This window comes from Homo sapiens, chromosome 15 (genome assembly GCF_000001405.40).
Source record: "Homo sapiens chromosome 15, GRCh38.p14 Primary Assembly".
In the NCBI taxonomy this organism is placed as follows: domain Eukaryota; kingdom Metazoa; phylum Chordata; class Mammalia; order Primates; family Hominidae; genus Homo; species Homo sapiens.
The window spans coordinates 72,623,530-72,649,730 of NC_000015.10; the positions used below are offsets into that span (position 1 = coordinate 72,623,530).

General features: G+C 52.1%; 1 protein-coding gene and 1 long non-coding RNA gene across 3 annotated transcripts in view, besides 3 other annotated features; one reads left to right on the forward strand and one right to left on the reverse strand.

Moving 5' to 3' along the window:
- The window catches only part of LINC02259 (long intergenic non-protein coding RNA 2259), a 28,475-nt gene extending 15,049 nt beyond the window's left edge, over window positions 1–13,426 (reverse strand). For both annotated transcript variants that reach the window (NR_135685.1, NR_135684.1), the window contains exons 1-2: window positions 13,257–13,426; window positions 9,809–9,877 (exon numbers count right to left, since the gene is read on the reverse strand). This is a non-coding gene — a long non-coding RNA (long intergenic non-protein coding RNA 2259). The remainder of the gene's footprint in view (window positions 1–9,808; window positions 9,878–13,256) is intronic.
- Window positions 4,922–4,991: an enhancer, noted in NCBI's record as "active region_9726". NCBI's record gives its function as "activates an Ori minimal core promoter by ATAC-STARR-seq in GM12878 lymphoblastoid cells {active_cell/tissue: GM12878}" and the evidence as "EXISTENCE:reporter gene assay evidence [ECO:0000049][PMID:35858748]".
- Window positions 5,113–5,705: an enhancer, noted in NCBI's record as "H3K27ac-H3K4me1 hESC enhancer chr15:72920983-72921575 (GRCh37/hg19 assembly coordinates)". NCBI's record gives its function as "activates a minimal SCP1, AML or CMV promoter by ChIP-STARR-seq in primed H9 embryonic stem cells {active_cell/tissue: H9 hESC(primed)}" and the evidence as "EXISTENCE:reporter gene assay evidence [ECO:0000049][PMID:30033119]".
- Window positions 5,237–26,014, forward strand: LOC112268145 (uncharacterized). Its single transcript, XM_024450114.2, has 14 exons — window positions 5,237–5,314; window positions 5,853–6,024; window positions 6,213–6,309; window positions 6,600–6,681; window positions 13,289–13,387; window positions 13,465–13,686; window positions 14,097–14,288; window positions 15,295–15,366; window positions 15,587–15,652; window positions 15,878–15,917; window positions 16,236–16,355; window positions 16,516–16,596; window positions 25,270–25,370; window positions 25,474–26,014. Exons 1-14 carry the CDS (start codon window positions 5,237–5,239, stop codon window positions 25,828–25,830), a joined length of 1,779 nt encoding a protein of 592 aa, XP_024305882.2. The 3' UTR covers window positions 25,831–26,014.
- Window positions 23,419–24,301: an enhancer, noted in NCBI's record as "H3K27ac-H3K4me1 hESC enhancer chr15:72939289-72940171 (GRCh37/hg19 assembly coordinates)". NCBI's record gives its function as "activates a minimal SCP1, AML or CMV promoter by ChIP-STARR-seq in naive H9 embryonic stem cells {active_cell/tissue: H9 hESC(naive)}" and the evidence as "EXISTENCE:reporter gene assay evidence [ECO:0000049][PMID:30033119]".
- Window positions 26,015–26,201: the final 187 nt, after the last annotated feature.

A 26,201-nucleotide genomic window follows, 5' to 3' on the forward strand; every position in this document is an offset into this window, starting at 1 on the left:
GGTTGCTGCAGGTCCTTGGCCAAATCCCAAACTATGAATGTGTGGATTGAGACTCTGCAAGGCCTAGCACAGAACAGCCGATGGGGAGCTGAGAGCTAAACAGCGATTTCAGTGGTCACAGAGTGCTGGAAACACATCTGAATTCTGGCTCAGCCAGCATCTCCACTCTTGGAATCTCAGGACTTGATGAATATCCCAGACATTCACAGGAGGGCCTAGAAGGCCATGCCTTGGGATTAAGGAAGATTCTCTAGGAATAAGGTCAAAACTAAAAACCAGCTCACGCTAACAAAACCTAAAATGTAGCCTTGACACACGTGATCAAGTTAACCCATCAGTAATTTAATTCCCTGCCAAAATAAAACTCAACACTGGAGTAGGATAACATAACCCACATCTCTACAATGAAGGTTCACAATGTCCAACAGCTCAAGAAATACTTAGAAGACATGAGAAAAAGTGAGAAAATATATCCTACAATTAAGAGAAAACCAGTCAATACGAACTGACCCACTGTGCATGGTGGCTCACGCCTGTAATCCCAGCAATTTGGGAGGCCAAGGCAGGTAGATCACTTGAGCTCAAGACTTTGAGATCAGCCTGGGCTACATGGCAAAACCCCATCTCTACTAAAAATTCAAAACTGAGTTGGGTGTGGGGGTGTGCAGGGGCCCATAACCCCCAGGCTGTGGACTGTACCCGTCGGTGACCTGGTAGGAACCAGGCTGCGCAGCAGGAAGTGAGTGGTGGACAGCGAGCATTACTGCCTGAGCTCCGCCCCCCGTCAGATCAGCAGGCATTAGATTCTCATAGAAGCGTGAATCCTAATGTGAACTGCACATGCAAGGGATCTAGGTTTCACACTCTTTATGAGACTCTAATGCCTGATGATCTGAAGTGGAACAGTTTCATACCAAAACCACCACCCCTGACCCTGTCTGTGGTAAAATTGTCTTCCACAAAACCAGTCAGGACTGCTGGTGGCACATGCCTGTGGTCCCAGCTACTTGGAAGGCTGAGGTGAAAGGATGGCTTGAGCCTGGGAGGTGGAGGTTGCAGTGAGTTGAGATCATGCCGCTGCACTCCAGCCTGGACAACAGAGTGAAATCTTATCTCAAAGAAACAAACAAACAAAAGGGCCGGGCATGGTGGCTCCCATCTGTAATCCCAGCACTTTGGGAGGCTGAGGCAGGCAGATCACCTGAGGTCAGAAATTCAAGACCAGCCAGGTGAGGTGGAGGTTGCAGTGAGCCGAGATGGCAGCATTTTACTCCAGCCTGGGCTACAAGAGTGAAACTCCATCTCAAAAAAAAAAAAAAAAAAAAAAAAAAAAAAAAAGGGGGCCCATAAATGGCTCACACATTGGAATTAGCAGGCAAGAGCTTTAAAGTAACTGCATACATACATCAAAGATTTTAGAGAAATATCAACACCTGTGAAGATGGTGAAAAAAGAATTTAGAGAAATAATTTTTAGTATAAGTATGTCCTAAATATGCATGGTACATACTTACTAAAATATAGTTTATTTTTTAATCAGAAATCTAAATTTAACTGGGCATCCTATATTTTATCTGGCATCTCTACCCCAAAGCCAAGAAAGAGAGAATCCAGAGTCCTATCTTTTAGCAGGTGACCTAGCCTAGGACAGGGCCTGGCCAGGGGCAATTGTGCATTGGATGGATTAGAGATGCCAGTCATTCAAAGGTTTGCCAGACCTGCATACAATCAACATTATTTTTATTTAATATTTTTGTCTAAAGCAACTTTAAAAATGTTAACCCTTTATTTGGAAATATAGATTCAGAGGAAATTTCAAAGATGGTACAGAGAGGTTTCATGTACTTTTTACTCAGTTTCCTCCAAAGGTTCTATTTTGTATAAATGTAGGACAATATCTAACAATGTCACATGACTATGTCTATGCCATTTTATCACATATGTAGACTCCTTTAACCACCGCTACGATCAAGATAGAGAACTGTTCCGACACCACGAAAATTCCACTCCTGCTATTACTCTGCACTCATTCCTGGCTCTTCCCCTCCACTATTCCTACTCCTGGCAACCACTAATCTGCTTTCTGTCTTTATAATCTTCTCACTTCAAGAACATTATAAAATGCAAAAATTAGCCAGGCGTGATGGCGTTAGCTTGTAGTTCCAGCTACATGGAGGCTGAGGCAGGAGAATCACTTGAACCTGGGAGGTGGAGGCTACAGTGATCCTGCCATTGCAATCCAGCCTGAGAGACAGGGTGAGACTCTCAATGAATGAATGAATGAATGAAAGAAGATCTGGCATGGTGGCTCACACCTATAATCCCAGTGCTTTGGGAGGCCGAGGCAGGTGGAACCGCTGAGGCCTGGAGTTTGAGTCCAGCCTGGCCAACATGACAAAACGCTGTCTCTACTAAAAATACAAAAATTAGCCAGCATGATGGTGCGCGCCTGTACTCCCAGCTACTTGGGAGGCTGAGGCATGAGAATCACTTGAACCCAGGAGGCGGAGGCTGCAGTGAGCCGAGATTGTGCCACTGCACTCCAGTCTGGGCCACAGAGTGAGACTTTGTCTAAAAAAAACAAACAAAAAAAACAAAACCAAACAAAGAAAAAAAGAACATTATATAAATGGAATCACACAGTATGTGGCCTTTTGAGACTGGCTTTTTATTTTTTGTACTCAGCAAATGCCCTTTGAGATCCGTCCAAGTTGTGCATGTTCCTTTTTATTGTTTTTTTTTCTGTTTGAGATGGAGTCTCGCTCTGTCACCCAGGCTGGAATGCAGTGGCATGATCTCAGCTCACTGCAACCCTCCACCTCCTGGGTTCAGGCAATTCTCCTGCCTCAGCCTCCTGAGTAGCTGGAATTATAGGCACCCACCATCATGTCTGGCCTTTTTTTTTTTTTTTTAGATGAAGTTTTGCTCTTATTGCCCAGTACATAGGCATGATCTCAGCTCACTGCAACCTCTGCCTCCCGAGTTTAAGCAATTTTACTGCCCCAGCCTCCTGAGCAGCTGGGATTACGGGTGCCCCCCACCATGTCCAGCTATTTTTTTTGTATTTTTAGTAGAGATGGGATTACACCATGTTGGCCAGGCTGGTCTCAAACTCCTGACCTCAGGCAATCCACCTGCCTTGGCCTCCCAAAGTGCTGTGTTTATAGGCATGAGCCATCGTGTCTGGCCCCCTTTTTATTGTTGAATAGTATTTCATAGAATGGATGTATCAGTTTGCTTAACCATTCACCTATGGGGGAGTATTTGGTTGTTTCCAATTTGGGGCTATCACAAATAAACCTGCCATAAACAATCATGTATGAGTTTTTGTGCAGACATCAGTTTATTTATTTTCTGGTACAAATGCCCAGAAGCAATTGCTAGGTCATATATTGAGGTGTATGTTTAATTAAAAAAGCTGCCAAACTATTTTCTAGAGAGTCTGTACCATTTTATATTCCCATCAGTGATGTATGAGTTAGTTTTGTCTGCATCCTCGCCAATATTTGATATTATCACTATGTTTGATTTGAGCTGTTCTAATAGATATGCAGTGATATCTTACTGTGGTTTTAATTGCATTTCCCCAGTGGTTAGTGTTGAAGATCTATTCATGTGCTTTAAGTCAACTCATTTTTAAAACCTAAATAAATGTATTTAAAAAGGAAACTTTCGCTTTGGGAGGCCAAAGCGGGTGAATTGCTTGAGCCCAGGAGTTCAAGACCAGCCTGAGCAACATGGCGAAACTCTGTCTCTACAAAAATTACAAAAATATCCAGGCATGGTGACGTGAGCCTATAGTTTCAGCTACTTGGGAAGTGAGGCAGGAGGATTGCTTGAGCCTGGGAGGTTGAGGCTGCCGTGAGCTGTGATCGCACCATTATACTCCAGCCTGGGAGACAGAGCAAAACCCTGCCTTAAATAAATAAATGAATAAAAGGAAATTTGTGATTAGTGGTTCTCAAAGTGTGGTCCCTGAGCCAGCAGCATCAGCATCCCCATCAGCTGAGAACTTGTTAGAAATGCAGATTCTCAGGCGCCACCCCAGACCTCCTGAATCAGAACCTCTGAGGCGTGGGTTCAGCGACCTGTGGTTTAACAAGCCCTCCCGGTGAGAATCGGTCTCATTCACTACAGATAGAAGGAAATGGTAAAAATCAATTCATCCCCGTATCGCCTAAAATCCTCCTGTGGGCCCCAGGTTGGCACAGCACACTTTTGGGCAGGAGCCCCACTCACAGAGGCCGTGACAAGAATGCTCCTGCCCCTGGGGTTGTGCAGTGACAGCTCACACAGCTCCACGTGGCGGTTCTGAGTTTGGGAAGCGCTGATGTAGTCCTACTACAGCCCTTCCTGCCCTTCACTGGACTGAGAAAATCCAGGCTCTGAGGAGGGAGAGACTTGCCCAAGGTCACCCAGCAACATGGTCAGTCTCCTTTCCCAGGGCCCTCACAATGCGTGGCCTGTTTAAAGCCTGCCTCTATTCACTGCTGAGTGAAAAATCCAGCTCCAAAACAGAATATGGGGAAGGATACTATCTTGTGCAGCTTATGTTTATAGCTGCAGATACGTGGGAAAAAAAGTCAGAAAATACTGTTGAAGCAGTTACTTAGGGAGAAAAGGTGTTTGCTGGTCTTTTGTGTTTTTAACTTTTCTATATTTCATAATTTTTATCACAATAATGTTTAGTTACATAATCAAAATGTATTAAATGTTAAAAATTGACATGAAGCCTGATCCAGCCACGGCCTATTGTTGGCAGAGTCAGGAAGCCTTCCAGATAGAGCAGCCCCGCACCTGCCCCAGGTCACACCCTGGGCCTGGGCACATGCTAGGTCCTCTGTCTGGACACCCTCACCCTGTGGTGGCCTCCACGTCCGTACCCACCAGCACCTCCTGTGGGCGAGGCCCTACATTACATCCAGCCCTGGGCACCCACTAGCCCAGAGGGCACCTCATGGTCTGAGAGCCCGCCTGTCTGTCTCTAAAGAGAGGAAAACTCCTTGGGACATGTGTTCCACTTGACCCATCACCCCTGGCCTGGTACAGAAAGGTAGACAGTGGGTATTTGGTGAATAAATGAATGGATGATTAGAATGAATTCCCAAAATGGCAATTTCCTGAGGCCCTTCTCCAGCTGGCCCAGGTGGAACCAGTTCCACTTTTCACAGGAAAGCCAGGTGGGAGGAGTGGGGCAGGTGTGTGTGAGGGGCCAGATTCTTGAGGGCTGCATGGACATGGGGCTTTGGCGGGTCTGGGGGCGGCAGTGCTTCTGTGGGAGCCTCAGGGAGGGCTCATCCTTGGAATCCACCAGGGTATCCTGGTACCCCCAGCTGCTGCGTGGCGTGAGAAGTCCTGGCTGGTGGGGACACACAGGTACTTGTTTGGATTGGCCACCTGGTCCAGCCCAAGGAGCTGTGCCTCCAGCCCCTTGGGGAAAAACTCACTTCTGATGTGTGACAACAGCTGCAGGCAAGGGGAGGGAGAGGTGTGCTGGGCCTCGGCCTTAGAAGCCAGAAGCCCTACCTTGGTCTATATGGGAAAGGCATGCGGCCTCAGCTAGATCTAGGGTCCTGGGTTATGGTCAGAACCCTCCCTTATGGACTCAGTGACTTGGGCTGACCCCGCCCCTCCCTGAGCCTCATCAGTGAAACCAGGATGGGGCCAGGGCTCTCGACACCTCCCAGCTCAGACCTCTGACTTTCTCCCAGGAGGGCAGGAGATCAGACAGAGGTGACCCGGGCTCTCCTGTTTACCTCAACCTCCTTGTGAAGCCTCCCTCTTTCTGCCTGTGAGGTGGGTGGGGCCGGAAGGAGGGGCATTCACCTGTAGGCCTCTGACTTCTCTGCCCAGGTGTACCTGGAGAGCCTGGTCTATACCCGGTGCTCTGCTACACCCCATGGCCTGGCCATGACCTCCCTGCCTCCAGAGCAGCCCTGGCCCAGGGAAGAAGCTGTCTCTGCATCGAATGATAGGTGGAAAATGGAAGTGGGGATGATAGCTCTGAAAAGGAGTCAAGGAGGAGGTGCCTTCCCAAGGATGCTGAGGGTTTTTCCAGAATGGAACTTGACTGGTGCGGGCAAACATCAGGAGGTGGGAAGGGTGGCTCCCTCTGTGGGAGCCAGGGTGACTTGCCTGGATCGAACAGTGGTAGGCAGTGGGTAGGGCAGGCAGAGCTGGGGTGCCCAGAGCCTGGGGTCCCTGTCCTTGCAGAGGACTGGATTGCAAAACAAGTGTCCCCTGCCTTCTGGCTGGGGGACATCCTCTACTTCCAAGCCCAGACATACACCTGCTGCCACAAGCCCCTGAGGTTCTTCAGAGGACCAATGGGCAGCCACACCCATGCTGGGCCAGCCTGCTGGGCCCACCTGCACCATGGTCAGAGCCCATGACTGAGGGGACTCTCTGGGGACAATGGGGGCAGTCTCATGCTGCCCTCTTACAGGTGGATCAGTCCCTGGGATCTGGTGTTGGGCCGGGGTAGGCTGAGTATGTTCTCTGATGGGGTGCCTTGTGGACAGCAGGTAGAGCAACTTCTTCTTGGCTTTCTTGGACCTCAGGACATAGCTGAACACTGCGCTTTACCCTGGATGCCTTCAGATTCTCAGGGGACCCTGGGAAGGAAGAGGGGCTGCCCCTGCAAAGGGCCAGGGCCCTGGCCCATGGTTGCTTCCCCCAGCAGGTACCTCCTCTCCAGATTGACATCACCTGATTCCTGAAGGCCTGAGCTACAGACCAGAGCCCCAACACCCTCACCAAGGCCTGTTCTTAATCAGAGCAGCTAGTATATGATTCCGGAGCTGAAGCGGGCAGAGAGAGAATGCGGGGCTCTGTAAGACTTCTTGGCTCCCTGCTGCGGTGGGCCCTGTAGAAGGCCCCCCAGAAATCTGCAGCTGCTGTAAGTCACTGGGAGGAAGCTGCAGCAGACATGTGTTTCCCAGCCTGGTAGATGGAGAAGGGTTTCCGGGTCTCCGAGTGGGAGGCCCAAACGTGGCCTTGGTTGTAGCAGTGCAGGAATTCTAGCCAGCTCTGGGGCCCAGGGCAAGTCATTTAACCTCTCAGAACCCCACTCCTGGTCACCATGTGGCTCTTGTGTGGTTGTAAAGAACACCCCTGGCCACTTATGTCCCATCAGTGGAAGCCTAGCATGGGTGGAGACCCCCGAGACTGAACTCAGTGGCAGGATCCAGCCTTTCCAGCTCTCCTACATAGAGCCCAGAGCCAGCAGGGTGGGTTTCCTGAAGAAGCAGGCACTCCTGTGGGCTGGAGAGCATGATTAAAGGTCCCTTTGGGAAGGTGGAAGAGGCTGCGGTCAGTGGAGGCCATAATGAGGCAGAGCTTGGGCAGAAGGGGCATGATTGGGGGATCTGAGACCCAATAGAGACTGGACTGAGGACACTGTGCCACTCAGGTGGTGGAAACTGAGCTAGGGCTGGGCCCCCTGGTCCCGAGTGAGGCCTCACCAGTCTTGGAAGCTGTGCCAAAGGTGGCTTCATGTAAGGGTGCATCTGAACACTTTTTTTTTTTTTAAGAGATGGGGTCTTGCTCTGTCATCCAGGCTGGAATGCAGTGGCATGATCATAGCTCACTGCAGCCTCAAACTCCTGGGCTCAAGCGATCCTCCCACCTCAGCCTCCCAAAGTACTGGAATTACAGGCCTGAGCTACAGAGCCTCGTTTTAAATCTTAATAAATATCTCCCCCTGGTCTGCTTCCCTGGCTGACACACATGCTGGCAACTTGCCCCTAGACAGACATGTTTCTGGACTTGGTTCCATTTGTTCTGATGGGCTCCTCTCTCTCAATGACCGCACGTTATATTATGTGGCCATTCTTACACGTTTCTGTATAGACCTGAGGGTTAGTGTATTAATGTCAAAGTTCTACTGGTTTTTCGAGGCTGGGTGGAATGTTTGGGTTAATTTAGGAGTGGGCATCTTGACAATATAGGCTTTTCCTCCGGGAATGGTGATTCTGGGACGCAGGTTTTGCACATTCTGGTTTATTGCTTGGCTCGCTGCCACAGAGGGATGGCACTGCTCCACATGCCATGCCCAAGAGATGTCCCACCTTATCTTTCTAAATCAAGCTGAATGTTCTCAGCTGACAGGATATCCTATCAGTGCTGCGGGGACTCACACCTTCCAAACTGAGATGAAGTGAGGTGGAGACTATGGAGCAGATCCGTGCTGACTGCATTCGCCCTTCCTGACCCACACTGCTGCTGGCCGGGGCTATGTCTGAGCCATCAGAGGGCATTGATTTGGGGACGGGGCGGGGGGCGGTCCTGGAGAGATGCCCCTCACCTCCCTCAGCTCCTCCTGTCCACCTAACACTTGGCCACCAAGGTCCCTGACTTCCAGGCCCCAGTCACCACTAATGGGGTGCTGCATGGGAACAAAGTGTAGGCCCAGAACCTGGAGCTCAGGTCACTCCTCCTTCCATTCGAAGCCTCTGCCCCTCCCAGGTGATTCCACCCTCATTCCTCCATGGGCCAAATATCCTAAACAAAGGCCTGGACAGGGGTCTTTATCCGAGTACTCAGAAAACACACACGGAAATGCTTTGCATGCCCCCTGTGGCCTGCCAGGGGTAAGAGCCTGCCCGTCAAAATGCACAGTCCTGGTTCTTGCAGGGAGGTGAGGAGCGGAGGAAGAAAAGATCCATCTCATTCTTTCAGCAGGATCCTAAACTTGGGAAAGCCAGATGCAGTACATTTCTTAATCCTGATACTTTTATAACTGGTTATAGCGGGGTCACATGCGCAACTGTTTTCCAACATCTTTCAACGGGCCACATAACATCCTGTAACTTCTTTTTTTAATTTTTATTTTGTAAGGCCAGGGGCAGTGGCTCACGCCTGTAATCTCAACGCTTTCGGAGGCTGAGGCAGGAAGACTGATTGAGGCCAGGAGTTTGAGAACAGCCTGGGCAACATAGCAAGACCCCATATGCAACAGAGAAAAAAAATTTTTTTTTTTTGAGTACAGTGGCATGATCACAGCTCACCATAGCCTCCAACTCCTGGGCTCAAGCGATACTCCCACCTCAGCAGCTGGGACTATCAGAGCGCAGCACCACATCTGGCTGATGTTTTAATTTTTAGTAGAGATGCGGTCTCACTATGTTGCCCAGGCTGGTCTTGAACTCCTGGCCTCAAGAGATCCTCCCAATGTGACCTCACAATGCACTGGGGTTACAGGCATGAGCCACCATGCAGCCCCTGCAAAATCTAACTGTCCTTCAGGTGCTCCTTTTGGACCTCCTAGCTAGACTGCCATTGGCAAATGCCAGTTGATTATCCACCCACATTTATGTTAATGGATTTCCCATGTTTTATTTGTCTAGACCAGGCTTTCTCCACAGCAGCACTGTTGATGTTTAGGGCTGGACAGTTCTCTGTTCTGGAGCTGTTTGCGCCTCGCAGGATGTTTAGCAGCATCCCCAGCCTCCGCCTGCCACATGCCAGCAGCACTCCTCAGTGTGACAGCCAAAGTGATTTCAGATACTGTCAAATATCCCCAGGGCGGCAAAATCACCTCCAGTTGAGAACTGCTGACCTAAAACCCTCTGGAACAATGTTAGATCATGGTAATGATAGCGCATACTGCTCCTGACCTTAATGGGAATACCTCTAGCATCAAAGTATAGTAGTACCTGTATACTACTGTCTGGGCTGTTATTAGTACACTGTATTAGTCCATTCTCATGCTGCTATGAAGAAATACCCAAGACTGGGTAATTTATAAATAAAAGAGGTTTAAGTTGACTCACAGTTCTGCATGGCCGGGGAGGCCTCAGGAAACTTACAATTATGGCAGAAGACACCTCTTCACAGGGCAGCAGGAGAGAGAAGGAGAGCCGAGCAAAGGGGAAAGCCTGTAATAAAATCATCAGATCTGGTGAGAACTCACTTACTATCATGAGAACAGCATGGGAGAAACCACCCCCATGATTCAATTATCTCCACCTGGTCCCACCCTTGACATGTGGGGATTATTGCAATTCAAGGTGAGATTTGGATGGGGACACAGAACCAAGCCATATCATATCCTTTATATTAGCATACTGTATCAAAGTATAATTTTCTTTCTTTTTTTTCTTTGGGACAGAGTCTCACTCTGGCTCTGGCTGGAGTGCAGTGGCACAATATCAGCTCATGGCAACCTTGGCTCACTGCAGCCTCAGCCTCCTGGGTTCAAGCAATTCTTGTGCCTCAGCCTCCCGAGCAGCTGGAACTACAGGTGTGTGCCACCAATGCCCAGCTAATTTTGATTTTGTTTTTAGTACACATGGGGTTCGACATGTTGGCTAGGCTGGTGTCAAACTCCTGGCCTCGAGTGATCCAGCCACTTCGGCCTCCAGAAGTCCTGGGATTATAGGCGTCAGCCACTGCACCCAGCCTGAAGTATAATTTTCACAATATGAAAAGCTTGACTTTCATACAAATAATGAAGGAATACGTATAAGATATTTTCTTTAATTTACAAGGGAGTCAGCAACACGGTGAAGCTAGTTCAAGGAGCGTTTTGAGAGACAGTGTCTGTAGTGCTCCAGGAAGGGCATTCCGAAATGCATTCTGAGATAGAGACAAAACTTGTTAATATCCTAAAGGGAGGCCGGGCGTGGTGGCTCAGGCCTGTAATCCCAGCACTTTGGGAGGCTGAGGTGGGTGGATCACCTGAGGTCAGGAGTTCAAGACCAGCCTGGCCAACATGGTGAAACCCTGTCTCTACTAAAAATACAAAAATTAGCCAGGCTCAATGGTGGGTGCTTGTAGTCCCAGCTACTCAGAAGGCTGAGGCAGGAGAATTGCTTGAACTGGGAGGTGAAGGCTGTAGTGAGCCAAGATCATGCCACTGCACTCCAGCCTGGACAACAGAGCAAGATTCTGACTCAAAAAAAAAAATCCTATTGGGAAATAAAACTGTCATCTTTGGGAGTTATCTTTTCTACTGTACTGAAATCTGTAAGTTAACATATATACATATTCTCACATATATTCATAACATATTCTCTAGTATATTTCCCTACATTAGTGGTTTTCAAACCATGGTCTCAAATTGGAAGCACCAGCGTCACCTGGGAACACAGACATGCAATGCTTAGGCCCCACCTCAGTCCTATTGAGTTAGAAACTCTGGTGTGGGGCCCAGCAGCCCATTTCACAAGCCTTGCAAGTGATTAGGATGCACTCTAATGTTTGAGAAACACTGCTCTAAATAGTCAATCTTTAATAGTAAAACAAGTATCTATGAAACAATGCTCAGTATGACATTAAAAGGGCGCACCACCCACCTTTTAACTTTATTTCTGAATTTAAATATTTTGTCTGTCTAATGTTAAATTTGCTGTTTTGTTTTTCAAATACTCTTAAGATAAGACAGTTTTCATCTGTTCCTAATTTTCTTTTTAAATAAAAAATGGTCCCAAAACTATCCATTTTTCTCTTCTTTAACCTACTGACAGCATGAAATAAAAGTTGAACCATTCCTACATCTTTTTTTTTTTTTCTCACCTTGTTGCTCAAGTTGACTGAAATGCAGTGGTGCAATCTCGGCTCACTGCAACCCCCACCTCCCGGGTTCAAGCGATTCTTGTGACTCAGTCTCCTGAGGCTGGGATTACAGGCACCCAGCACCATGCCCAGCTAATTTGTATTTATTTATTTATTTACAGTAGAGACGGGTTTTGCCATGTTGGCCACACTGGTCTCCAACTCCTGACCTCAGGTGATCTGCCTGCCTCGGCCTCCCAAAGTGCTAGGATTACAGGCATGAGCCACCGCACCCAGCTTTTTTTCTTTTCCTTTTTTTGTTTTGAGATGGTCTCATTCTGTTGCTCAGGCTGGATGGAGTACAGTGGCGCCATCATGGCTCACTGCAGCCTCCACCTCCCATGCTCAAGAGATCCTCCCATCTCAGCCTCTTAGGTAGATGGGATGACACGTGTGCACCAGCACAAGCAGCTAATTTTTTGTAGAGACTGGGGTCTCCCTATGTTGCCCAAGCTGGTCTAGAACTCCTGGGCTCAAGCGATCCACTGGCCTTGGCCTCCCAAAGTGCTATGATTACAGGTCTTATGTTCTTAAAATTTTTCTTTGACATGGTATAGGATAGTCTAGTAACTTAACACACTGTTGCTTTCAAGAGGATAGTGCTTATGATTTGTAAAATAACTCTTCAGAAATGAGTTCAATTTTACCATGAATTGGGACACTTTCTATTTCTATTCTATAGAGCAGTTTACTTGTCATGAGGTCTGTCTTTTGAAAACTTGAAAGCCTGCAACAATAAAACCAGCTGCACCTGGTGCATGGGATAGGCATGGAATTGAGGAGAGAGCTCAAACTATGGTCAGCCTTCTGTATCCTCGGGTTCTGGGTCCTTGGATTTAACCAACTGTGCATCAAAAATATTTGGAAAAAGTAAAACAATAAAAAAACACAAAAATTTAAAAATACTTTATATCAGCTATTTACAAAGCATTTATGTTGTATTAGGTATTATAGCAATCTAGAGATGATTTAAAGTATACGGAAGGATGTGCATAGGTTATATGCAAATACTATGCCACATTATATCAGGAACTTGAGCATCTGTGAATTTTGGTATCTCTGGGGTCCTGGAACCAGTATCTTGAGGTTACTAAGCGACGACTGTATTCAATTTCTTCTTTGGTTATTAGTTTATTCTTTAATGTATTTTTGTTGTTGTTTTGTCTTTTTGTTTTTGCCTCTTCAAGTCAACGTCGGAAACTTAGTTGTTCTAGACTACCCATTAGCTCAAAGCTACCAGTAATCAGACTACCACTGCAATCTAAGCAACCGATTTTTTTTTTACCCATCAGACTGGCAAAAATTAAGATAAGATCTATTGATGTTGAAGCTGTGGGGAGTTTTCCTGAGCATGTTAATTATGACAGCCCTTTTTACTAGGCACCTAGACGATTCATCAAAATGAAATAAAATACCCATGCACTTGAAGAAGTTACCTGGTTATTTCCTTATCTGGGTGCTGGTTATGTGAGGTCTACAGTTGATGAAAACTTATTAAGCTTTATATTTCTAATAGGTACAATTTTCTGTATGTGTAATATATTTGAAAAGTTTTTAAAATGTTTTTTGCCACAGCCCGCAGCTGTGTATAATGCTATTCGCTTAACAGTGGAAAACATGGCAATGACCTGAATCTCCCTGGCTCCCGGGATCCTACCCCCTTAAGTTAACGAAAATAAAAGTAAAAGAAATAACTTCCACTGTCTTTCGTAATGCCTTAAATCCGTCCTCAGTTAAACCGGCGGTTGGCGCTGGTTTTTTCCAGGGCAGGATTCTGGGAGACGGAGGAGCAGACGCCAGCATTTCGCCCCCGGCACCTCCAGCGGGCTGCGGTCCGCTCCCGGCCTCACTCGAGCAGGCCCCGCCCCGCCAGAGGCCGTTAGTCCAAGTCACGTGATCGTCGACTCAGCTGACCTGGCGGGACCGGAAAAAGAAATTCCCGGGCGATGATGAGGCACCAGGGGTGAAGCGGACATGGGCTGCTGGAGCGGGAATGAGGGGGCGCCAGTGGCTCCGGAAACGGGTTGAGGTTGTCTGCACTGGCCGCTCCGCAAACACAGTGTGTGCGGGCGTCAGGGCAGCAGGTCTGGTAGAGAAAAGTCCACCGCCATCCCTCTCCCGAGTGGGGCGGGTAAGACAGAGCAGGCCGGCCGGCTTAGAGTTCCCTGCTTCCCTGGCGGAAGGAAGGGCCCCTGACTCCTGGGGCAGGAACTAGGGCTTGTCTGGAGCTGGGAGTCCTTTCAGGTCTTCTCTAGCTCCAAAAGGACCTCCCAAGGACACCCCCTTCCCCAGCCCTGCTGTGGGACTTGGACAGGAAAGTGCTAGAATCAGGCTCACTCTTGCACACTGTTAGGAAGCCACTCCGCTCTTTTCAGATCCAGAAAGTAGTAGTTTTGGGGCTGATACTTATCCATCCATTCATCCAATCCATCCATCCATAGGTTCAAAGTGCCTAGTCTATACCATGAATTGTACTAGGCACTGGGAGGACTTGAGCTGCCGCGGGAAGGGGAAATCAGAGGCTTGAATTGGCAGTCATAGTTAAGGCTCCAGGGGCAGAGACCTAACTGCGCCTTGTGTGTAGTGCTAAGGGGGCTTCCTGAGGATGCCTTCAACCTTAAAGGCGATGGCAGGAGTTGGCTGGCTGAAGTACAGTTTGTGTACCAGGGGTTGGGAGGCAACGGTGGGAGGCGTGTGTCTTCAGACAGGGAACAGCATGTGCAGAGACTTCAGGTGAGAGAGAGCATGGCTCCCCAGGAATGAATGCATTTCCCGTAGCTGGGAGAGTATCATCTGGAGGTTAGGGAAAGATGAGTCTGGACAAGTAAAGGCCAAATCTTCCTGACTGTTGGATCACCACAATCAAGATAACGAATATATCCACCGGCCCCCAAAATTTCCTTGTGTTAGGGGCTATTTTAGGAAGTATGATCAAGAAGGGCTGGCCTGCCAGGGTGGAGTGGCTCACGCCTGTAATCCCAGCACTTTGAGAGGCCAAAGTGTGCAGATGACCTGAGGTCAGGAGTTCGAGATTAGCATGGCCAACACGGTGAAACCCTGTCTTTACCAAAAATACAAAAAAGTTGGGTGTGGTGACGCATGCCTGTAGTCCCAGCTACTTGGGAGGCTGAGGCAGGAGAATTGCTTGAACCCGGGAGGTGGAGGTTGCAGTGAGCCGAGATTGTGCCATTGCACTCCAGCCTGGGCAACAGAGCGAGACTCCGTCTTTAAAAAAAAAAAAAAAAAGAAGGGCTGGTCTGATGAGGTGTCACTTGAGCAGAGAGTGGAATGAAATAAAGGATAGCAAGCCACATAGAGAGTGCAGCGGAAGCAAGGCTGGTGTCCCTGAGCTGCAGCAGGGAAGCTGGAGTGGCTGGAGTTGTGTGGGTATGGGGAAGAAGGGAGAGAGTTCACTCGTCTCTGTGAGGCCCAGGACTTTGTTTTATCCCATGCTGTACCCCCAGCACTTAGAGTGGGAGCTAGCACAGAGAAGGTGCTCAATTGATGTTTGCTGAGCAGATGAATGCCTGGAGTAGACCTCAGAGCAGGGTTTGGTGGCAGGGTGGGTCAGGTAGAGTTTACTCAACAGCCTGGTGATAGGGGAGAACAAGTGGCCAGAGGGTATCCATCTATGTCGGGGACCAGGGGTCCCTGCTGGGCAGCAGTGTGGGAGACACAGGGATCCTGGCCACACCTCAGTCTTCTTTCCAGCCTGATTACCTGCCTCCCTCCCTTGCAGAGGTTTCGGTTCTGTGGTGATCTGGACTGTCCTGACCGGGTCCTGGCAGAGATCAGCACGCTGGCCAAGATGGTTGAGTGCACAGGGTCTACACTGGGTGGAGGAGGGGTGTTGGGCTGGGGATTGTGGCTGTAGAGGATGGTGAGGTTTCTCTGGGGCTAGGGCCTCAGTGCTCTCAGCCTGTGCTACCATGCTTTGTGACCTTGATCAGTGGCTGGCCTGCTTTGAGCCAGTCCCCAGGAAGAAGGGGTGAGGTTTGCCAGCCTGGCTGATGTAAGGACTTCCTTTCCAGTCCTCTGTGAAGTTGCAGCTGCTCTGCAGCCAGGTACTAAAGGAGCTGCTGGGACAGGGAATTGATGTGAGTACAAGATCCAGCACCCCATTGTCCCATGACCTTATGACCACCACTGCCCTGAAACTCTGCACTAGGCCCGGGGAGACGGGTGAGCCAGCCTCTCAACCTCTCTGGGCACCTCCCTTCCTTCTTTCCAGCCTGTCTGTTCCTTATTGCAGGATCCAGGCTGGGGGTGAGGGGCTGGTGAGCAGGGACCTGGCACCCCCTGAAGGTCTCCTTTCCCCATAGTATAAGAAGATCCTGAAACTCACAGCTGATGCCAAGTTTGGTGAGCACCCCGCTGAGTTCACAGGCCCCAGGCAACCCTGGGACCTCGGCCTGGTGCCTGGTACAGAGCCCGCCCCCCACCCCCCCGCCAACACACACATCCCAGCAGTATCCTTAACCTGCCTTCCCTAGTGGAGGAGCATGAGGGAAAGAAAGACATTGACAGTCCCACCTTCCTGTCCTCTGCCAGCTCCTGGTGGAGCAGTAGCAGTGCCTATGGCTCCAGGAGGCCTGGGGGCTTTGAGCTGAAGTTAATAGGGCAACAGGGAGGTGGCTGGGCCCACAGTGACACCCCCTGTCCCATGCATGGGTCCCTGAGAGTCAGGCGATGTGAAGGCCACAGTGGCAGTGCTGAGTTTCATCCTCTCCGGTGCGGCCAAGCACAGTGTCGATGGCAAATCCTTGGCCAGTGAACTGCAGCAGCTGGGGCTGCCCAAAGGTACGGGTTGTGGGTGGGCAGCTGGGCAGCCTGTGGGCCAAGGGCTGCTAGAGAGTGGGCCAGGCCCTGTGACCCTGAGGTGTACCCTGCCCTGTCTGGGCCAGGAGCCCAAGCCCAGCCCCCACCTGCTACCTCCAGAGCTTCTCCATTCTACCCCCAGAGCACGCGGCCAGCCCGTGCTGCTGTTATGAGGAGAAGCAAAGCCCCTTGCAGAAGCACTTGCGGGTCTGCAGCCTACGCAGTAAGTATGAGGCCAGCCAGGGTCCGGGCTCATCCTAGAAGGTGCACGCAGCACACAAAGTGCGTGGAGAGTCCAGGGAGACAATTTAACCGCAGTCACATACCGAGCAGCCGCAGAGCCGGGACGTGGCCCTCGGTCTCCTGACCCCGCGCGCTCTGTGATGTGTACGTACAGGATCAGACCTTGCCCTTTCCTCCTGGCTGACCCTTCCTTAGTCCCCCGTGCCCCATGTGTGAGCACCCAGCTCACTCTCATTCCTCCCTCTCCAAAGCGTGGTCCCTGGCAGCACGAGTGGCAGAAGGGACAGCAGAGACTGTGGACCCCTCAGCTGCACCTAAGACCTCTGTGTGGTCTAGCCGTGTGTGCTGGGGGAGGCTTTTGGCCACCATTTCCCCCTCTGTAAATGAGACCGATACCTGTGGCATGGAGGACAGGAGGCTGGTGTGAGTGCCAAGCACTTGGAGCAGGGCCCTGAGTGAGCATGGACATGGGAACAGGGGTGTTTCTCGACTTTGTGCACCTTGGGGATGGGAGTGGGGCTCCCTGCATGGGTTGACAAGGCATTGCTTTCCCCCACCCCACCTCTGTCCCAGCCCTGCAAGTCCAGTCCTTGGGGGTCTAGGAAGGAAGAAGCCCCTGGCTGTTTGGCCTCAGGCTGGTGCCTGGCCCTCTCTGGCTCTGAGTTCCTGGGAAAGTCAGCACCCAAGGCATGCCCTCAAGTTTAGCACCTTGACAAGAAGGGCGGGGACACTGGGATCAGGCCCAACTCTTTGGCCCCAAATCCCACGGCCCCAGCTGGAGGATGAGGAGACGCTGGGCTTGGATGGGGAAATCAGGGGTGTAAAGGGGCCTGCTCACCCCTCAGCTTGGCTCAAAGGCTCAAGGCGTCAAAGGCTCAGCCTGCCACTCAGGAAGGAGCCCTGGCCAAGCCAGACACTCACCAGGACAAGGGCAACTGTGATGAGCAGGAGGCCCAGGATGAGGAGAGCCATGGCATAGCTGGAGATAAAGGCATCCAGCAGGCTGGAGGCTTTGGGGCTAGGACTGCCTAGAGCAGAGCAAGAAGGCTATGGCCAGGCGGGGCTCTGCCTCTCAGACTTCTGAGAAGACAGAATCTGGGCCCAGAAGTTGCTGCGGGACCAGAGAGCTGGGGCTAGGAGCACCTTAGAGGGCTCCATGAGGAGGGGAGGCAGGCTTCAGATCAGGGCATGTGGAGGCAGCGAGCCCAAGGGAGGAGGCAGAGGGACAGAGGGAGGCAGCCTGCAGAGGGAAGGAGGTACTGACCGAGGTCTAGGATGACCATGTCTACCAAGACGCCCGCTGCCTCCCACAGGGTGTGCAGGCCCTGGCGTGCACAGTGCCACATGACGGCCTGGGCTGGCGCCACCCTGAAGAAGGTGGCACCCACTCTGGCGGTCAGTGGGTCCAGCCTGCTGAGAGGATTATCACAGACTTCAGGGGTCTGTGCAGCCTTGGGGGACTAGGGGAGGTCATCTCTTCCAGCCTCCTGTCCTCAACCCCAGAACCCCGGTATGAGCCCTGGGTCACCCAGGGCCACCCCGGACCCACTGGAATTCCTCCACCACCGCTTGGTCAAAGTTCTGCAGAGATCTGAGGACAAGGGTCAGCTGGGGGGTCAGAAGAGGATGAAGAGGGTCACAGCTCTACCAAACAAAGCTTCATTCCTTGTGGCCCCTGGCCCACCCCTCTGCTGCCAACCTCAGGCTGGCCCAGCCCTGCAGAGTAGGTGCCCAAAGGCATCGTAGCAGTTCCTGTCATGCTGGTCTCCCCCCGGGGCCCCCTCTGGAGCCTGGTACCACAGATCTCAGGGTAGGGGGTACAGCTCAGTCTCCCTTCCCTCTCATCCCCCTCATAGGGGCTTAGTCCACCAAGGCCCCTGACTGCTAGGGGACCCACACCCACGGCCTCCTTCTTTCTGACTGCTGGCCCTTCCCCAGCCTGGATACTTGAGCCCTGGGCAGAGGGGTAACAATCCCAGGACTGTCTTCATAAGCAGAGAGGCCACTTGGCACCAGGCTCTTACTCCTTGGGCTGAGCTCAGCAGCAGGTGTGTCACCAAGGTCCCCTGGGCAGAAGGGGCTCAGCCCTGAGGGCCCATCACTCGCCATGCCTGCACGTTCCTGCTAGGCATCCACCCTGGGGACCCAGCTTTCCCCCTTCCCCCAGCTGCTGGCAGGCCTGTCTTGATTCATCCAGGGTCCTTCAGGCCATGCCGGGAAGCAGCCAGCAGCTGGGAGGAGCACTTGGGGTTTCTGCATCTTTTTTTATGGAGCTGACTTGGGTGGGAGGGGCTACAGACTCAAGGGAGACTGCAGGCCACCCCTTCCCCACTCCCTGGCTGGGTAGGCTTCCAGCTCAGGAGTCTGATTGGAAGGATGGGACCGTCCTGTCACAGAGGCAGGTCTGAGTAGTCCAGGCCCAGTTTTACCCTCCAGCAGGGCCCCTTTCATTCATTTGTCCAGCTGGCTTTGCCCAAAGCACAAGTAATGTCTATGTGTACTGTGTCCCCTGTCCCCAAGGGGAGTATGGCTCCAGTCCTGGCCTGGAACTCAGAGACCTTAGAATTAGAGGCCACATCTGGCAGGGTGGACCAGCATGGTCTGCCCACGGCCAGGGCAGGTACCATGTTGGCAGCCCCAGACCTGACACCACGGCTCCCGTCTCCCCTCTCCACTTCCATCCTGCACATCACCTACACTACGCGCTGTCCCTGATGAATCCAAGCTGTCAGCTTCTGTCAGCTTGGCTGGGAAGTCATGCTGACCGTAAGGGGAATGGTGCAGCCTGAGTTGGGGGCTGAGTGGGAATGGGCCTGGTGTGGGGTGGGGGAGGTGGGGGTGAGGCGGGTGTCTGGCGCCTCTCTGCTTATCTTCCTTTCTCCTTTGTCCACAAAGGAGGCATCTTTTCCATGTCCCTCTGCCACCCTGGGGACATAAAATACTGCCCCACTTCTGTCTTCCCTTGGACATAGCCCACCTATCTTCCTGTGGGACTCAGGGCTTTGTTTTGTCCTGTGGCCCACATGAGAAGCAATTATCCCTGCTCTGCTCAGCTGAGAGAGGACAAACTGAGGCAGAGCAGGGGAACAACTCTGTCATAGTCTGGCTGTTAATGGCAGAGTAAAGACCAGCCCTTCCCTGAGTGTCAGGTCCAGTAGACATTATATTAGTCCGCTTTGCATTGCTCTAGAGGAATACTTGAGACTGGCTTATTTATTTATTTTTGAGATGAAGTCTAGCTCTGTCGCCCAGGCTAGAGTACAGTGGCACAATCTCAGGGCACTGCAACCTCTGCCTCCTGGGTTCAGGCTACTCTCCTGCCTCAGCCTCCTGAGTAGCTGGAATTACAGCCATGCACCACCATGCCTGGCTAATTTTTTGTATCTTTAGTAGAGACAGGGTTTTGAAATGGAGTTTCGCTGTTGTGGCCCAGGCTAGAGTGCAATGTTGTGATCTCAACTCATTGCAACCTCTGCCTCCCAGTTCAAGCAATTTTCATGCCTCAGCCTCCCAAGTAGCTTGGATTACAGGCACGCACCACCATGCCCGCCTAATTTTGTATTTTTAGTAGACAGGGTTTCACCAGGTTGGTCAGGCTGGCCTTGAACTCCTGACCTCAAGTGATTCACCCGCCTCAGCCTCCCAAAATATTGGGATTACAGGCATGAGCCACCACTCCTGGCACTGAGACTGGTTATTTATAAAAGAGGTTTATTTGCCTCACAGTTCTGTAGGCTGTACAAGCATCTGCTAGGCTTCTGGTGAAGCCTCAGGAAGCTTTTACTTCTAGTGCGAGGCAAAGAGGGAGCAGACATGTCGCATGGTGAGAGAATAAGCAAGAGAGAGGAGGCATCAAGCTCTCCTGTGAACTAATAGAAAACTCACTCATTGAATCACTTGAACCTGGGAAGTGGAGGTTGCAGTGAGCCAAGATCATGCCACTGCACTCCAGCCTGGGCTATGAGCGAGACTCTGCCTCAAAAAATAAAAAAATAAAAAATAAGAAAACTCACTCATTACCATGGGGAGGGCACTAAGCCATTCATGAGGGATCCCCCACCATGACCCAAACACCTCACACTATAGGCCCCATCTCCAGCACTGGGGATCACATTTCAACACGAGATGTGGATGGGACAAGTATCCAAACTATGTCAGAGGCCTCCCCCTCCCTCTCATCAGAATCTTCTGTCCTCAGTTCAGGTGCATGCTGGCCTCCATGCCTGGCTTCCTAGAAAGTCATCTTGGCGCCAAGGGGTTGGGCAGGGCCACTAGGCTGAGGGTTGGAGCCCTATCTCTCCTAGTCCCAGCCTGGGTCTCCATCACTGGGTAACCCGTACTGCTCGCTGCATTCTCTCCACACCTGCTCCCTACAGCCCAGGGGTCAGTCTGGGTGCAGGCCTGGGTAGAGGTCCAGGAGCAGATTCTGCCCCCCAGCTCATACTTCCTGTGCACCATGGCAGAAAATGCACCAGCATGGCCAGGAGCACTGGCTTGTCCCTGTAGTCTCAGTGTTTTGGGAGGCTGAGGTGGAAAGATCGCTTCAGACCAGCCTGGGCAACATAGTCAGACCCTGTCTCGAAAAAAATAAAATTAGGCATGGTGGCATGCACCTGTAGTCCCAGCTACTCAGGAGGCTGAGGTGGGAAGATTGCATGAACCCAGGAGGTCCAGGCTGCAGTGAGGTGTGATTGCACCACCACAATCCAGCCTGGGCAACAGAGCAAGACCCTGCCTCTGAAACAAGAAACAAAGTGCACCAGTGTGTGGATTCCAGCTTCTCCTGGTGTGTGGACCTGACCTCACTCAGCCCCATCAGTGAGTAGGAGGCTTCCTGCTGTCTTCCAGAACACTCTCACCACTACACCTGTGTTCCTCCTGCATTCTCTGGCAGGCTTTGTGAGGAGACCTGTCACCTGCCTCTCTGGCTGCCCTAAGGCCCAGCTCAAACCTTCCCTGACCCTGAGAACCTTTTTCTGAAGAGTCTTTCCCCCACCCATAGGCCCCCTCATTTCAGAGCTTTTGGTGGGGTGAGTACAAGGATCGACTCTCTGCTACCAGCCTGGGTAGGGTCCCTAGGGTTGGGTCTCTGGATGGCATATGAGGGTCTAGACCAGGATCCAGATGCCTGTAACCTGAAGGGCAGGCCCTCAGCTGCCCCAACTTCATGGAGCCCCTCGTCCAGCCTGACCTTCTGGGATAGGCCCAGCCCCTGCATCCTTTGGTCTTGGTCCCTGCAGGGAACTCTGGTTACCCTGGCTTACCTACTTTGACTCCAAAAGTAATGCTGACATCCCCCGTGAGACACAGTGACAGACTGAGACTAACGTAGGGTTACGTGGCTCAGAGTCACCATGGCCAGGCAGAGCTCAGGTCCTAGCACTGTTCAGCCCTGCCTCCCGGGTTCAAGTGATTCTCCTGCCTCAGCCTCCCAAGTAGGTGGAACTACAGGTGCATGCCACCACACCCGGCTAATTTTTTGTAGTTTTAGTAGAGATGGGGTTTCACTGTGTTAGCCAGCGTGGTCTTGATCTCCTGACCTCGTGATCCGCCCACCTCAGGCTTTCAAAGTGTTGAGATTACAGGCCTGAGCCACTGCACCCAGCCTCCCTAACACTCTTCTAGCTCTGGTGCCCTGCAGGGTCTCCCTTGGAGCACCTGGAGCCCAAGAAGCTGTCCCTCACCTTTGCAATCCCAGGGACTCGCCCCCTGATCATGATGAAGGTGGACCCAAACCCGCTGAGGGGCCTGAAGGAGCAAAGGTCAGCCTCTGCCTCCCACGGCCTCTCTGATGGGGGGGATGTTATCCCAGCAGCATGAGCTGGGAGCAGAATTGGGAGGATGGGGGGTTTTCTCTGTGGGTAGCTCTGGGCTCCAAGGTGGAGCCCTCTTAACCTGGCCGCTCCCCTGTGACTCTCCTTAGCCCCAGGCAAAGAAAGCAGCTTGCCGGAGGTCACCTGTCAGATAGGGAAAGAGTGGGACCTGGGTTCTTTCTCACCCAGCTGCAGCTCTCCCTTCCCCCAGCCCCTTCCCCCAGGTGATAGAGAACCTGGCAGGCTGTGTCCCATAGAAGAGTTCACTTTCCTTCTGGTAAGGGATGGGAACCAGCTTGGGATGGGAGGGATGAGGGGTCTGGGGGCTCTCCCAGCCCTGCCTCACATTTGAAGGATGGCATCTGGGTGTCAGCATGGTTTAGGCTAGACGGGGCGGCCCCGAGGTTTATAGCCTGGCCTCGGGCAGGATGCTGCCATGCCACCTTCTCTTCTGCACGTCCTGACCTGGCATCCTACCTAAAGGTCCTCAGGTCTCCTGCCCCCTGGGCATTGCCCCCACTCCCTGCCCAGACACAGCTGTCCTTGTCCTGGACTAATCTTCAGAGATTCTTGTCCAGCCCACAGCTTTGCTGGACATCGCAGGCTGGGCCAGGCCCCCTGCCCAGCACTAACATCTCTGTGTGTCTCAACCAGACTGAGCTGCAGCTTCAGGGTCAGGGTAGGCTCTGACTTAATTGACGTGACCCAGGACAAGGGGATTTATTGATGGTGTCACATATGCTTAAGCTCTTGGCCTCTATGATTTCTTTGGGGCATGATACCCCTCTGTCCCATGCTTAGGTGCCCACCTGTGGCCACAAGTACCTTTCTTACCACCATCCCTACTTGAGATCGGTGTCCAGGCACCTGTGGCTCCACGCAGAACGCTGAGCACAGAGCCAGGCCTGGGCGGATGTTCTGCAGGGGCTGCAGGAGCTGACAGTCCTGACCACCCAGCCCGTGGCCATCCATTCCCTTTCACCGTGGCTGGCTCTTCATCCACCATCCTTCCAGGGGCCAGGCCTGAACCCAAACTGACTTTTACCTGCCCTGGTCCCCCTTGTGCCTATCAGGTTCTTGGCTGAGCATGATGTTCTTGCCCATTTCCTTGATTATCCTCAAAAGGTTTATAGAACCACTTGGGGACATCACATCTGTCTACCAGGTCCTCACCAGAGACATGACTGCCTTGGGCCGGGCCTGGGATAGTCAGGGGTCACACTCACCTGTTGGGACCTAGCTTCAGTGGCTTCAATCTGGGCAATGGCCTGATGGGCGGCTGCCCCTTCTCCTCTGCTTGGGGGAGGCAGGAGAGGAAGGTCAGGGAGGAGATCTGCTTCCTGCCCACCTGACACTGGTTGGAAGCAGGGCGCCCACCTGTGCCTGTCTCACCTTGCTGCAGGTGCATCGGAGGCCGAACCCCTCTCCCGATCTCCTGCAGGTGCAGATTCCAGGTTTCCAGTGGGTGTCAGTGTGGGCTCCAGAGCTCTCCTGGTCCTAGGGAACCCTGGGCTCCATGAGGCCTTCGCCTAGCCAGATTGTTTCCCACACTGTCACCTCCCCACCCTGTCACCTCCCCAAACATGGGGCTGCATGCTCTGTGCCCTGGGTGGGACATTGGAAGGAGTGCCACCTTCCAGGTTTGGATCACAGTAAAGCCTCTGCCATGGGGATGTGCTGGCCGAGACAGATGGGGTTGAACCAGTCATGATATGTTGGCCTTGGGCAAGTCATCTGTGCCTTGCTTCCCTTTCCCCAGCAGCCAGAAGGGATAATAGCACCTATTTCACCCATACTCAAGTGTTCATTTGTTAGCAGGAACTGAGTCCCGGAGGAGGTGCAGGTGGAGCCATTGAGGCAGCACTGCAGCTGGACCTGGGTCTGAGTCCCAGCTCCTGGCTGTGATATGCATCACTCTCTCCATTTATTTATCTGAAAGACAGGGCTGTGCTGTTCTGGGGTCACTGTGAGAATGCAACTGGCCTGTGTGAGTTGGTGGTGGCCTCCTGTGATAGCTTGAGGTGGGCTGGAGGTGTGTCTTGAATGCCCCCTCACCCCCATGGGGAAGACCCACTTAGGGAAGACTCAAGTGTCTGTATGGAGGAACCCACATTCCCTGCCCCTCAGCTGTCCTCTGTCCCTTCCTAGCCCCCTCTGCTGTCCTGCAGGCTCTGGCGGTGGCCATCCAGCTTGGTGGCCATCTGGCTGATCCACTCCTCCAGGTGGACCCTCTGTCCTCATGTGGTGCAGGTCCCATTGTGCCACCTCCAGACAGGCCATGCTAGCCCCAGGGCCTCCGTTCCCTGTTACCCAGCCCCCACCCCCAGGTACGTGCCACCTCCCTAAAGCCCACTGTGTCCACCAGCTGTGTTTCAACTCTGTCTCTGAGCAAGGCCTAACGCAAAGCCTGAAACAGCCTGGCTTGTAGAGGGCCAGGAGACCAAAGCTTGAAGAGAGAGTGACGGTCTCCCAGAGCCCACTTAGCCTCAGCCCCAGGGCTGTGTCCATGCTGTTCCTGGCTCCAGTGAGCCAATTCTCTCCCCTGACGCCCGTAAGGGCTCCAGTGGTGATGGAGGTAGCTGGAGAGAACAAGGCTGTCTTAACCCTCCCTCCCTGAGAAGGCCCAACGGGGAACGTTTTAGGCATCAGGGCATTCTGGGGGGCATCTTCCAGGGACCCCTCCTATACCCTGCCCTGCCCTGGCTCTCTAGTGAGAAATTGCAGTTGCTTGGACAGTGGGGCTGACCCAGGACAAATGCATATATTGGGCTGGTCTTCAGGGTGCTGGGGTAGGGGCAGGGGCACTTCAGGGATAGGAAGGAGGGGCCTGTGTGTTCCAGAAGTACAGAGGAACCTGGTGCCGGCCGCCGTCAACCCCTATGTGATGATCTTTCTACCCGCCCTCTTTCGTGTCTTGGTGCTGGCTGCTGTCTTTGGCCAGGTAAGCTCATGGTCTGGGCTCCTGGGGTCCACTCACTGGGCCTCCACACTGCCTGCAGGTAGGGGAGCCTTTGGGCCAGGACTATCCTTGGCTCCCCTTCCAGGTGGTGGGTTCAAAGACCATTCCTGGGTTCCACCACCGCCAAGCCTCAATGGTGTCTCGATGGTCACAGGAACTGCTGGGGCTTTCTAGGTTAAGACCCTTGCCTATCCCGGTGTTCCTCCCTGCAGTAGGGGGCTGCAGGGGTCAGCCTCAGTCTCTGCCTTGGGAGCCTGCCTTACCTTGCCTGAACTCAAGCGATCTGCCTGCCTTGGACTCCCAAAGTGCTGCAATTATAGGCGTGAGCCACTGCACCCAGCCCAGCCTTGACTTTGAAATATATGTTGTACATCCAGACAGCAGTGAACTCTGGGGGAACACCAAAGATGAGGAGAATGAGAGAAGAGATACCTCCAATTAAAGGAGTTAGGAAGAGATGCTTGAACTTATGTTTTAAAAAGTCAATGCAGGTTGGGCACAGTGGCTCGCACCTGTACACACAGCACCTTGGGAGGCTGAAGTGGGTGAACGGCTGGAGCCTAGAAGTCTGAGACCACCCTGGGCAACATGGCAAAACCCCGTCTGTACACAAAATACAATAATTAGCCAGGCACGGTGGTGCCTGTGGTCCCAGCTACTCGGGAGGCTGAGGTGGGAGGTCGAGGCTGCAGTGAGCTGAGATCCACCACTCCACTGCAGCCTGGGCGACAGAGTGACACCCTGTCTTAAAAAAAAAAAAGTCACTGTTTTGGGGTTTTCTGGGTGAAACCTCTGTTTCCATAAAAAAAGAAA